Consider the following 13818-nt stretch of genomic DNA (forward strand, 5'->3'; position numbering starts at 1 on the left):
AGATGGAGTCTTGCTCTGTCGCCCAGGCTGGGCGCCTGAGTGGCGCTATCTTGGCTCACTGCAACTTCCGCCTCCCGGGTTCAAGCGATTCTCCTGCCTCAGCCTCCTGAGTAGCTGGGACTGCAGGTGCCCACCGCCATGCCTGGCTAATTTTTGTATTTTCAGTAGAGACGGGGTTTCACCGTGTTGGTCAGGCTGGTCTTGAATTCCTGACCTTGTGATCCACCTGGCTCGGCCTCCCAAAGTGTTGGGATTACAGGTGTGAACCACTGCAGCTGGCCTTTTAAAATTTTTATCGGAAGCTCTATTTTACTCTGTTTCTGCCCCATCCCAGCACACTCATTTTCCTTTTCTTAGAAAAGAAAAATTAGTACCTCTTATTGAATGAGTATATAAAATTCCCTGCTGTATATTCCAGCTTCCCGTAACTCACCCCCAATGATAATAAACTGTGCTGAACATCAAGGATGTTTGATTGAGGACATTAAAAATCACCAATTCAGTGTGTTCTCTTAATACTTTAAAAACCAATTTCCATTTTAATGGAGTTGGAATACAGCATTCTAATTTGTATGTCCTGTTAGGGAGACATTAAATGAAATTATACTTGCTTAGGATTTTTTTTTTACACTTTTTATCCATAAACAAGAGAGGTCCCAGGGTTACTTACAAAGTCAATTATTTTTAAATTAAGGGGCAGGTTAATTAGTTTCTTTATAGTTATTATTGAAGTATTATTTTCTGTTCTTTTTCCCTCTCTTGGTTGTCTTAATCCTGTGCATCATTTCCCTATTTTTGAGTAGATTAAGTGATAGTGAATAGGAAAAACTTAAAAACAGCTTTTTTTTTTTTAGAATTTTTTTTTATTACGGAAAATTTAAACACAATTACAAAAGTAGGCAAAATAATGTAATGAACTCTCACGTAATCATTACCCAGCATCAGCAGTTGCCAACTCATGGCCAGTCTTACTTTATCTCGAATCACCTTCCTCTGCTTAGGTTATTTTGAAACTAATCCTAGATCTCATATCATTTCATCCATAAATACCTCTAAACTTAAGTATCGCCATACAGAAATACTCCTTTGGAAGTACTTCAGTCAAAACGATGACACTGTTATTTTCTTAAAAATTAACACTAATTCCTATTTTTCAGCAATTACCTAGTCAGTGATCAAATTTCCATTAATCTTACATTTTTGGTTTGAATTATGATCCAAATGTGGTCCAAACCTAGTAATTGCATTTTTTATGTCTTTTAAATTTCTTTTAATTTTAGGTTTCCCGCCTCTCCAGCTCTTCTTCCCTCTCCTCTTCCACCCTCCCCCTCTCCCTCTCTTTCCTTGCAATTTACTTGTTGAAAAAACCAGGTTATTTGTCCTGTAGAGTTTCTCACAGGGTGAGTTTTTGTGACTGCATCTCTGTGGTGGTTACATTGAAATTTTGGACATATATGTTGATAGGCTTTTTAATTTTTTTGAGTTTTGCTTAATGTTTACTACTTTGATGTGGAGAGGTAAGTTGGATCTTCTTTTGCTGGATTTAGAGCAGAGGTCCAAAACTGGTGCCGTGGGACACATGTGGCTCACAGGTGTGTTTTGTTTGGTAGGCACAATTGGAAATACTTTAAAGTTAATTGCCATGAGTTAGACATTGTAAAGTTCCCTTAAGAATCAAGATTTCTTCTTTTTTTAAATTCTGTTTTAAAAAATCAGAGTATCTGGGCACCCCAGCTTCTGTGGCAATGCCTCTGGTGAGTGGTGGGGCTCCTTCAGAGGGCGCATGCCCGCACCTGGTGCGAGCACACTCCTCATACAGGCTTCCTGCCTGGTCCCAGAGGCCTGCTGGGTTTGTGAACCCTGACTTAGAGGAACAGAGATTACCTTTATTTGTGTGGTGTCTCTGAAATTCAATGCATTTTTTGCCTCATGTTTTCTCCAAGCTGGTATTTGAGCTGTTTCACTGTCTAAGAATTGATGTTTATTCAGAGAGTGGTCAGAGTGCCAGCTGAAGTTCCTGCTGTGCTTCATACCTCTGTCTTAAGCCTGACTCCATGCATTGCATGAATTTGTTCTCATGTGCCTCTCCCTTGGACTGTGGATATTGGTTTTTTAGTGCCTAACAGAAGGCTTGGTGTATAGTAGGTGCTCAATTCTTATTGAATGAGTAAGGGAGAAAAGGAACCAGTAAATCAACCTGATAATGAAGGCATAGGAAGATAAACAGATCATGTAATGCACATCCATGTTTGAAACTTCAGTGATGTTAGCACCTCTACTTCCTCCACTGGCATGTGTTACTGGAAGTGATTGTAATCATGGTATGTTACTATTATAACACTGTACAATATTATAAATAATTTGTGTAGATATGCACATGTTTAGCTTAGACATTAGTCACATGTAAATCAGGGATAGGCTTCTTAATAATAGATTTTTAAACATTAGCTAGGCTTTCCTTTCTTGGCCTAAGAATTTGGAGTTTGAATTCCTCCATTTGGTTTATGTCCAAAGGAAGGAAGTACAGCATGGATAGAGCCCACAAACTTGAAGATAGTTTAGGAGGTATAGCTGGTGTAATTTTGTAATGTTTTAAAACCTGGCATTTGGATATCATTTAAAAACAATAATAATTTTAATACCATTGCATTTTAGGGTTTAGTAATCTTATTTGTTATACTAATGCATACTTTGAAATTAGAGTTGAGGTTTTAATTTTTTTGGTAGATGTTAAGCCTGCCTGAACCTTTACTTGCTGCTGACAACCTTTGATAAAAAGTGTGGGTGGGGTCAGGTTCTGTACCCTTTGACTCCAGGAGAATATTTAGTTTATCATGATTAAGAGAACAGGAAAAGTAAACACGTTACCAGTTGCATGTTCTAGTATAGGCTAAATTCTTATTCCCTAGTGGTTATTACATGAAAATGTAGTTTGAATGACTCCAAACAATCAATAAACTAACATTGCATTAAGAAATCTAGCTCATTTTATACTGTTAAAAATTGTCAACAAGTGGTACTATTAAAAGTGAGGTGTTTCAATTTTAAGCAGTCCTTCAGTGGCATTTGTGGGTGGTGAGAACTCTCATTGAGAGCATGTGGGTGCCTTCACATAGTGCAGTGGTGAGTGACGGGGATGTGCTATAGTGTTGCAAGAAATTAGAGGTTTTTTGGAGTAATTTTAATAGTACCACCGTTCTGTATTTACCAAATACTTTACATTTTTTAAACCATTTCAGTATTGAAATTATAATCACTAAACCAAATCTTTGAAAAATTCATGATTAAAATTAAAATTCTTAATGTTACTCTTGCCTCTTTTAGTGACTGAATTGAAAAAAGTTACTGGTAGTAAATGTTGGCCAGTGTTCTACATATGAATCTATGATAAGAATTTTTACAATCTGGAGGAAAACTATAAAGATTTGAAATCCAAATACTGTACTAGTATATAGTGAACTGTGTCAGAGACTGGGTCAGAGGTGTTAGATCTGAATTGCTGACCACTGGATTTCTTTCTGGGCTCCCAAGGGGAATACTCAAATGCATGCCTAATATATGTTATATAAGTGGAGGAAGATGGAAGAAAAACTAATTTTTTTTTTTTTGAGACGGAGTTTCACTCTTGTTGCCCAGGCTGGAGTGCAATGGCGTGATCTTGGCTCACCGCAACCTCCCCCTCCCGGGTTCAAGCGATTCTCCTGCCTCTCAGCCTCCTGAGTAGCTGAGACTATAGGCATGAGCCACCATACCCGGCTAATTTTGTATTTTTAGTAGAGACAGGGTTTCTCCATGTTGGTCAGGCTGGTCTCGAACTCTTGACCTCAGGTGATCCACCCTCCTTGGCCTCCCAAAGTGCTGGGATTACAGGCATGAGCCACCACGCCCGGCCAAAACTAATTTTTTATAGTGAATTTTCCTCAAATGTTAGCACTTTCTTGTGTTCCTGCTGCTGTTAGTCAGGACTTACTTCGGCAATTTGCTTTTCTTCTTCCTTTTCTGCGTGTTGCCTTTGAAAATTGTAAGATGAACACTATTTGAATGATGTTCTTAAATAGCAATTAATTTAGTTTGTTTTGCCCAAATGATTTTAGCTTTGCAGTATTTTTTCTTTTAAAAAATGTATTATAGGCCATTTCAAGCCTGAAGACAAGAGTAATATAAAGAACACCTGTGTAACTATCCACCAGCTTTGTTGAATCTAACATTTTGCTGTGCTTCAGATGTGATTTTTTTTTTTTTAAGTTGTAAACCTGTGTACAACTTTTGATCCACAACCTGGCGCGTGTGTTGTGAGATTTATTCCTATATATTGTATGTGGGTTTTTTTTTTCTATTATAAATGGTGTATTAAAACTAAAAAAAAGTTTGCTGGTGCATAGCAATGTGATTTATTTTTCGCTTGGTAGAACTTGCTTAAGCTTTCTGGACCTGGTAGCCTTTAAACTACAAATTCAAATGTATCTAATGGTTGTAGCTATATTCAGGTTTTCTAATTGTTCTAGACTCAGTTTTGGGAAGAGATACTTTTCTAGAAAATATTCCATGTCTGTTTTTCAGCATTATTTAAGTCTACTACATTTCAGATGTCTCCTTTTTAGTTCCTTCTCTTTACTGTTGGTCTAACCATGGCTTTGTAACTTTTATTCGTGTTTTGAAAGAATCAGCATTAGGTTTTCTTGAAATTTCTATCATTCCCCTCTCCCATACTTAATTTATGCTCTTATTTTTAATTCCATCAATTAGTTTTGTTAGGAGTTCTCTTTCATTTTATTCCTAAGGTCAGGTGCTTAGCTTACTAATTTTTAGGCTTTCTTCATTTCCTTTTTTTTTTTTTTTTTTTTTCTGTGGAAACAGAGTCTCGCTCTTTTGCCCAGGTTGGATTGCAGTGGAATGATCTTGGCTCACTGCAACCTCCACCTCCTGAGTTCAGGCGATTCTCAGCCTCCCAAAATGCTGGAATTACAGGTGTGAGCCACAGCGCCCAGCCGATTTTTGTCTTTCTTTCCCTTTCCTCCTCTTACCTTTCCTACCTTCCCTCCTCTCCCACCTTCCCTCCTCTCCCCTCCCCTTCCTTCGCTTCCTTCTTCAACAGGGTCTCCATGTGTCATTCAGGCTGGTGTGCACAGTCATGGGTCACTGCAGCCTTGAACTCCTGGGCTCAAGCGATTCTCCCACCTCAGCCTCCTGAGTAGGTGGACTGACAGGTGTTTGCCACTACACCTGGCTAATTTTTAAAAAATGTTTTGTAGAGACGGGGTCTCACTCTGTTGCCTAAGCTGGTTTTGAACTCCTGGGCTCAAGTGATCCTCTCGCCTTGGCCTTCCAGAGTGCTGGGATTACAGGTGTGAGCTACTGTACCTGGCTGATTTTTTTTCTTTTATTTCATGAATTGTTTTAAAGGTCATTTTGATGTTTTCAAATACATCAGAATTTGTAAATTCAGATTTTACTATTTCAGATTTTATCGTATAATTGTCAAAGTGCCTGGATGATATTGATTCTTTGGTATTGGTTGAGATTAACTTTGTGATCTGGTATAATTGTTCCATGTCTGCTTGAAAAGAAGGTACATTCTAATTGTTGGGTGTTGGTTAGGTCTAATGTGTTCCTTAGATCGTGATTGTTAAGTATTTCATTCATCTTCTATAGTTTTACTACTCAACTATTCACAGTACTATATACATGAAGTCCTTCTTCCATAATTGTGAATTCATGAAATTCCCCCTTTAATTCAATGTATTTTGAGGCTATGTTGATAAATAGCAGGCAAATTCAGGATAGGGTTTTTTTTGTTTTTTTTTTTTTTGAGATGAGGGTATCGCTCTGTCATCCAGGCTGGAGTGCAGTGGCACAATCACTGCTCACTGCAGCCTCAGCCTCCTGGGCTCAAGTGATCCTCCCACCTCAGCCTCCTGAGTAGCTGGGACTACAGGCATATGCCACCACACTCGGCTAATTTTTTTAGTTTTTCCGTAGAGATGGGTTTTTGCCCTGTTGCCCAGGCTGGTCTGGAACTCCTGGGCTCAAGCAGTCTGCCGGCCTTGGCCACCAAAGTGCTGGGATTACAGGGGTGAGCCACCACGCCCCGCCCAAATTCGGAATAGTTATATTCTTCTTGTTGGTGGAATCTTTTTCTCATTATATAGTGACATTTTATTTCTAATAGTGACTTCTGCTTTAGTGGCTATTTTGCTTGATATTAATATGATGATAGCTTTTTTGGGTTACTGTTTACTTGGTATATATTTTTTCCTTTATGGTCTTACTATATTGCCATAGTTGCCCTTCTTCTAAACAACATATAGCAGGTTTAAAATTTAATCTGAGAATCTATGGATTCAATCTATTTATATTTGGATTTGTTTACTTTTGACTTTGTGGCTCCCCCCAACACACACACCTTTTAAGGTTTTAATTTTCTCTTTTCTTGGTAGTGTGTTCTTTAGTTCTCATTTTACTGTCCATTCTTCTGGAAGTTTTATAATACATTATTTTAGTGGTTACCTTTAAATATTTAACTTCAAAATGTCACATAAAAAGCGTATAATCACCATTTCTTCAACATCCTTTCTTTAAAACAAAACCCCAAAAACAAAGACCTTAGAATACTTCAACTCTGATAACTCGTCTTCATTTGTAGGTGTTACACTTTTCTCTAGTGTTTTTGCTTTCTTACTTTTTTACTCCTGAAATTTTACATAATTATTATTATTTGGTCGGCACATGTTCAGATTTACCCAAAGGCTTGCTGGTATTCTAAATAAATGTATATATAAGGTTTTTTTTTTTTTTAAATTTAAGTTTTGCAGCCTCATATGACCAAACTCCAAACCTCCTGGGAGTGGGGGAAAAAAGACTCTTAAAAAAGATACCTACTTGCAAAAAGAATTTACTACAATATGGAAAAGTATGTGGGAGAAAGTATGTATTTCTAGAGACTTTGAGATAACATTTAACATTCTGGCTATTTAACTTCTTCCTTTTCTTCCTTTCAGTTTCTCTCTTTCCAGTTTCTGCCTTTCCCGTTGTATTATTCTGCTCAGGTTGTGATAGCAAAATACCACAAACTGGGTGGCTTAAACAACAGAAATTCGTTTTCTCCACAGTCTGGAGGCTAGAAGGCCAAGATGAAGGTGTTGGCAGGGTTGGTTTCTCCTGAGGCCTATTGGCATGCAGATGGCCACCTTCTCCCTTTGTCCTCACTTGGTGTTTCCAGCTGTGCCTGCACATCTCTGGTGTCTCTTGTGTGTCCAGATTTCTTCTTATAAGAATACCAGTCAGGGTTGGGCGCGGTGGCTCATGCCTGTAATCCCTCTTTGGGAAGCCGAAGCGGGTGGGTCACTTGAGGTCAGGAGTTCGAGACTAGCCTGGCCAACATGGTGAAACCTCGTCTTTACTAAAAATATAAAAATTAGCTGGGTATGGTGGCACATGCCTGTAGTTCTAGCTACTCAGGAGGCTGAGACGGGAGAATCTCTTAAACCCCGGAGGCGGAGATTGCAGTGAGCCAAGATGGCGCCACTGCACTCCAGCCTGGGCGACAGAGCGAGACTCCACCTCAAAACAAAAGCAAAAACAAAAAACAAAACAAAACAAAAAAAGAATACCAGTCAGATTGGGTTAAGGCCCACCCTAACAGCCTCATTTTAACCTTATCACCCCTCTAAAGACCCTGTCTCCAAATATAGTTACATTTTGAGGTACTGAGAGTTAGGGCTTCAGCATATAAATTATGAGGGAGGGGGACACAAATCAGCTTGAAACACCCATTTTTCATCTTTCTTTTGGCAAAGGGTGTTGTTATTACGTGCAGTTATGTGTTCACTGGAGATACATACAGAAGTAGTTCATGTCCTCATGAGGCTTTCACCTAGACAAGTCTAGTAATAATCTCTCTCTCTCTCTGTCTCTCCCTGCTCTCCCTCTCTCTCCATCCCTCTATACAGACACAATAGGGCACCTGCGGACTCCTATCAGACTTGTTGCTCTGTGATTACTAATATAGCCACTCTCTTTTACGTAGGAGAAAAAGAAAAAGCCTTTACAGTCTTCAAAACCCCGCACTTATATTTTTATAGTTTTTTTCAAAAGCTGTGCTCAGATTCAGCTTGTCTCAGATTGGACTGTTGACTTTTTGTCTTTTGCATTTATTGCCCTTCTTTTCTTTTTCCTGATTTCCAGCTACTTGTGAGACTTGTTGCTGTTGTGGAAGGAAACACTGTATTCTATAGTTTAACATAGGGAGGGTGAATTTCCTAGTTGTTTTTTTTTTTTTACAAGCTACTGGGTTCTCCACTTTCTTCTGTGATTCATTAATGTATTTTTTCTTGCTGCATTTCAAAAAACTCCCTGCTTTATTAAGGTTTAGGTGACAGGTCACCCCATTTTGGGTGAAACGCCTGGATGGAACAATTAAAGAGAAAATGAAAGGATTCAAGTACAATAGAGAGTGGGAAAAGAGAGAGAAATTTGTGGAGTTCATTTGTCTACATGTCTGTTCACGTTAAATACTGTTTCTCAGGTGTCCCTGATTCCTCAGGTGCCCAAAGTCCCAAAGTGAGAGATGCATTTTAAAAAACCAACACCAACAAAAAAGCAGTGTTAGCCACGTTTGATTTTTTCGGTACTGCAGCTGAGATGTCCGTGATCCATAGTGAATCTTGAATTGATTCTTAGAACTGCACATCTGAGATGTGTAAGAGGTTTTCCCCACTACTTATTCATAAGCCTAGTTGGCAGAATTGATCTGGAAACATTTCCTAGTATAATTATTATTTTCAAAAATAAATGTGAAGCATATAGAATGTTTGTGGGAGGAAGGGGGTAGTCTTTCCCTGTCCGAACTGTCTCTAAAACAAGTGATGTATATGGAAGTGTCCAAAGGAGTAAAACTTGAAGGTGGCTCGGAATTTGACCTCTAGGTAGGAGAGAATTTGTACTTCAACTTCCTCCTGCAATGTTTTTCTAAGAGTAAGAACAACATCATCTCAAGGGGGAAAATGGCAAGCATGCAGAGGAGAGTCATTTGGCCTTGTTAGTCCAGTCCAGCTCCTTGGAAAAGGCTTTCATTTGTATGCTGCCTAATTATACTGTAAAAGAAAAGACTGAATCCATTAACTAGCCAGGCCCTTTGTGTCGCTCCTGAATCCCTTTAATTTCGTGGCTGCATAGAAGCTTTATTCAGGGCATTCCTAGTCCTGCACTATCTTTCCTGTCTGGATGCCAGGCCCTATTCATGGTGTTCTCACTGCAGGAAGTTCTCACAGTCATTTGGGGTGGATGGAGGGGGAGGGGAAAGATGAGGGAAGGCAAAGGACTATGTGGGTCTTTCCCCTCCTCCATTTCCTGCTCTGCCCCTTAAAAACAAAACACCAAACAAAAAGCACACTCAGGAACATAGCTATAAAGGAGGGTCTTAAGTGACTCAGTGGATTGATAACTCCTGTTAACAGAAAATATGTCTTCTTCTGACATCTATTTACAAGTAGTACTAAAATACTCAGAAAAAGCTTTTCAGGTCATATGAGGGTAGGGGGCATTGGAATGGTAATGTGCTCCAAAGGAATTTATTCCTTACAGTGAATGTATTTTAAAGGATTTAAAAAGATTTTTATTTTTAAATTTTGTGTTTTCTTTTTTAGAGACAAGGTCTTGCTCTGTTGCCCAGGCTGGAGTGCAGTGGCATGAACATGCCTCCCTGCAGCCTTAAACACTTGGGCTCAGGCAGTCTTCTCGCTTTAGCCTCCTGAGTAGCTGGGACCACAGGCATGAGCACTGTGCCTGTCCAGGCCCCCCGCGCCCCCACCCAGTAAAGAATAGCTCTTAAGGTTGTGTTAGTAGTAAGTTGGGAGTTGACACAGAGAAGCAGGGTGTTCAAGCAAACATCTAAACATTTTAAAATCTAAACAGGAAGATAAAGAGGCTAAGGAATGCTTTTCTCTTCTGCATGGTCTTTAAAAGTAAGTATTATTTAGGTTTGGTTTAGAGTATGCGACCTTTTACAACAGACGCTGAATTGTTGTTATATCTCCAGTCTTTTCAAATAGATATGCAGATAAAGAGGGGAACTAGAATGATTTTGTTTTGTTTCGAGAGGCCAGTGTGGTAGAAAATAGATAAAGATGAGTGTAGATGGATTCTTGAGAATAGCATGGCACCAATTTTGAATTGCCAGGATGTTCTCTTGGTTAATAGTAGTTCTGTAACCCAAGGGAAGCTTGATCTTGTTGCGTTTTGTTTGCTTTGAATGAATACATTATCAGGGGATGGTCAAGGTTAGATTCCACTCTTGTTACATGTTCAATATCTTTTTCAAAACTTTTGGGATCATTTCAAGTGTCTGCTCTCTTACTGTCTCAGTAGATCCTTATTGAAGCTGACCATGCAGTTAAAAACAACAACAAAAAATCAAACAGCTTGTCAAATCCCTGAAAAATCTTCAGTAGACAATAAGTGTGAATAACTGGATGAAAACTAAATAAAAGTGGAGAGTGTAGTTGTGTGTTGTGCCATATTACTACTGTGACATACATTTAAAAATTATAAACAAAGAAAAATAGCTGTTTAAGGGTTATGACAAGAAGAATTCTGACATGTGGAACCCTTGACTAGATGCATAGGAAACCAGGTAATAGAATAAGGATGAAGAACTGAATATCAGTAGTTTGCATTGAGAGAAATAGTGCAGAGCTTTTTCTGTTTTGTTTTTTAGTGAGGTGGGCATGAGGATATGCTGCACATTTTATTATGGTTAAGGATGTTTTCTTAGGTAAAGTTCTCTTTTTTAATATGGGAAGCTGATGACAAAAAATGTTTTTAGTTCACAGTATTCTATATGATTTATCATTTTAATGTGCTCTTTTCTGATTTAATCAACTGAGTTTATATAAGTCACTTAAGAAGACTTTTACAATATGGTTTATATATAGAGTTTGATTAGAGGAAAATAACTGAAGGCTTGTTTTTATAATAGTAATATAATAACTATCATTTGTTGCACCCAGCAATGTCCCATAAGTTGCACAGGCACTTTGCATGCATTGCTGGCATCTGGTCCTGTTCCCTAGCAGATGTTTCTGTTCACTGCCTTCCTAAAAATTTAATCAGGTCACTGTAGATGTGTGTAGCTGCATTCAGGTGCTCTACTAAATAGTGGGACTTTAGAAATTCATTAGTTACTAAACATTGAGACAGGAGCATGCCCTGTCCATGCTGCCCACTCTAGGATGGGCTTCACCCTTCCTTTTCAGGATATAACATGTTACTATTGTTGATGTACCTTCCAACAAATTAGGCTAATAAAAGTATAATTTCCCTAAGATTATGACTTTTTAAAGTTTGCAGTTTATTTCTCTGCAAGTTCAATTAATGAAATTGACTGTTTTGTAAGATTTCTTACTATGGGCCAAAGAAAGAGAAACCATAGTAATTTTTGATCCTGTGAGATTGAGGCTATTGCTTTTCCTTGAAGTCAGCCCTTTTGGAGTTGGGTTGGTTATTTTCTTGAGCTGTCACCTATTCCTGATTGTCAATAAAGGCTGTGTGGTGAAAGCATTTTGTTACACCCATGTAACTAGCCCTTCAGCTTGTAGTTCCCACCCTGCTTGTCTTAAACACTTCAGCTGTTCTTCTGAACTGCTTTACCATCTTACCTTCTCCAAGGAAGTTGCCATTGTACTTTGTCTTAGATTCTGGCCTCTCAGTTGTGCCTGAATTACTTGCTCAGCTGTTCTGTTCTGCTGTGGAATTCTTTTCATCTTTGTGCAACAGGCATTCCCCATCACCTGTCTTGTCAGTCTGGCACACTGTGCTTGGAGACAAGACTAGGCAGTTGTTGGGTATGAATGTTGGGGTAGCAGTAGGGCATGTCTGTGTGTGCACAGGAATCTGTGCAGGGCACCTGTCTGCAAGTTGGCCACTCTTCTAGAGGTGTAGAGGCTGCAGTCTTCATACTTTTTTTCCCCTCCCAAACTGTTTCTCTGCCAGTTTCAGTGTAATAAAATGTGTTTGGCTTTCAGAGGCTTTCCGTTAAGAGGAACAAGAAGATTGCATTTTGCAGTTAACGCTGAGAGAGCAAGGTGTTTTTGCTTTGGGGAGCATCATGGAAAGGACTAGAAGGTGTTTGAGAAAGCTTCGTGTACTTTGGATCCACAGTATCAAAAGTAGGCCTCTCCAGACCCCTGAGGGAAATATCAGAAGGGAGGGCTGCTTAGCTATTGTATCAAAACGTAATGGAAGTCATTCCCCCTGTAATTTGCTATAAGGGTAACAATGATATATACAACATACCAGATTCCACATATAAATTAAGAGAGAAGAAATAGGATTGAGGATGTAATGTTCACGGCGTTACATTTCTGTAATGTTTAATAGAAAGTAGGAATTGCCATAGTCAGCTACACCTGGTGGTACATACCTGTAGTCCCAGCTACTTGGAAGGGTGAGGTGGGAGGATTGCTTGAGCCCAGGAGATCAAGGCCTGGGCAGCATAGCAATACCCTGTCTCTGAAAAAAAAGTGACTGTAGTCTTTCTAGGATTTCTAATATGTGTCTCCAGGACCACAGTAGGCTTCTTGACATTGACAGATTTTTGTCTTTGAGTTAGCCAGCTAGACAACAGCATTTTGAAGTAACTGACATAGTGAAATTAGCTGATGTTTTTTGTAGGAAGTAGAGGTTTAGACATTTTATGTTTCTTTCTTTGTTGTCCCCTGGATAGATAGATGATCATTATAATCCTTTCATTCTGTGCAGATACGTGAAAGTTGAAAAGCACTTCTGTAACTAGCCCGGACGTCCAAAACCTGATCCTGTCATGCTCTGTCAACCCATTGGCTCATTCTTTTCCTTTCTTTAGGTTCTTACCAATACCAGTTTTCTCAATAAGTAACTCCTTCCCCTCTAATGATTCCTATGGAGAAAGAGGGCAAAGTTTAGATAGTGCCGTGGTGTGAGTGTATGTGTGTCCCTGTGCAATTCATATGTTGAAATCCTAAACTCCAAGGTGATAGTTTTAGGAGGTGGGGACCTTTTTGGGGGTGATTAGGTCATGAGAGCAAAGCCTTCATGAATAGGATTAGTGCCCTTATAAAAGACGCCTGAGAGAGACTATTCTTCTTCCACCCTGTGAGGATGCAGTGAGAAGGTGCCAGCTATGAGCTAGGAATCTGACCCTCACCAGACATCAAATCTACTGGTGCCTTGATCTTGGACTTCCCAGCCTCCAGAACTGTGAGAAATACATTTCTGTTGTTTATAAACTGCTCAGTTTATGGTACTTTGTTATAGCAGCCCAAACAGACTAAGACAGATAGAAAATTGCTTTATTTTGTGCTGGTAAGATAGTTTGTATCTATTTTTTGTTTGCTTGAACTGGGCAGTTTCTATTGGGGGTTTCTTAGAAGGTATTATTCATTCTTCTGGGGGCAGTTCTCTTTTCTTACTTTCCCTTAGCAAATTATTCTTTTTGCCATTTCTTTATGTCTTGTTAAGGCAAAAAGAAACATGATTTGTGAGAATATTTTTGTTCCCCCCCCCCTTCAATTTGTGCCAAGTGAGAACACAGATTAATGATTTTTTTCTTTCTTTGACTCATTCATTTTTTTTTTTAATAAAATGTGTTAGAACATGCTACACTAGCTCATGATTCCCAAGTAACTTTAGTGGCTTGAAATAATAAAGGTTTATTTTCTGCTCATGTTGTGTTAATCATCATGGAGGGAGAGGGAAGCTTCGTGTATACATCATTATCCACTCAGGGAGCCAGGCTGATGGAGTAAACACTATCCGGAATGCTGCTGGCTACCAAAGGGAAAA

At 39.0% G+C, this 13818-nt stretch overlaps 1 protein-coding gene across 1 annotated transcript in view, besides 2 other annotated features; it reads left to right on the plus strand.

Moving 5' to 3' along the window:
• The window catches only part of PHLPP1 (PH domain and leucine rich repeat protein phosphatase 1), a 264893-nt gene that overhangs the window by 26912 nt on the left and 224163 nt on the right, over window positions 1-13818 (plus strand). The gene's annotated exons all lie outside the window — the stretch shown is intronic.
• Window positions 8509-9405: an enhancer, noted in NCBI's record as "OCT4-NANOG-H3K27ac-H3K4me1 hESC enhancer chr18:60418194-60419090 (GRCh37/hg19 assembly coordinates)". NCBI's record gives its function as "activates a minimal SCP1, AML or CMV promoter by ChIP-STARR-seq in primed H9 embryonic stem cells {active_cell/tissue: H9 hESC(primed)}" and the evidence as "EXISTENCE:reporter gene assay evidence [ECO:0000049][PMID:30033119]".
• Window positions 9406-10301: an enhancer, noted in NCBI's record as "OCT4-NANOG-H3K27ac-H3K4me1 hESC enhancer chr18:60419091-60419986 (GRCh37/hg19 assembly coordinates)". NCBI's record gives its function as "activates a minimal SCP1, AML or CMV promoter by ChIP-STARR-seq in primed H9 embryonic stem cells {active_cell/tissue: H9 hESC(primed)}" and the evidence as "EXISTENCE:reporter gene assay evidence [ECO:0000049][PMID:30033119]".

The sequence above is a fragment of the Homo sapiens genome, chromosome 18, assembly GCF_000001405.40.
Source record: "Homo sapiens chromosome 18, GRCh38.p14 Primary Assembly".
NCBI classification, from domain to species: Eukaryota; Metazoa; Chordata; class Mammalia; order Primates; family Hominidae; genus Homo; species Homo sapiens.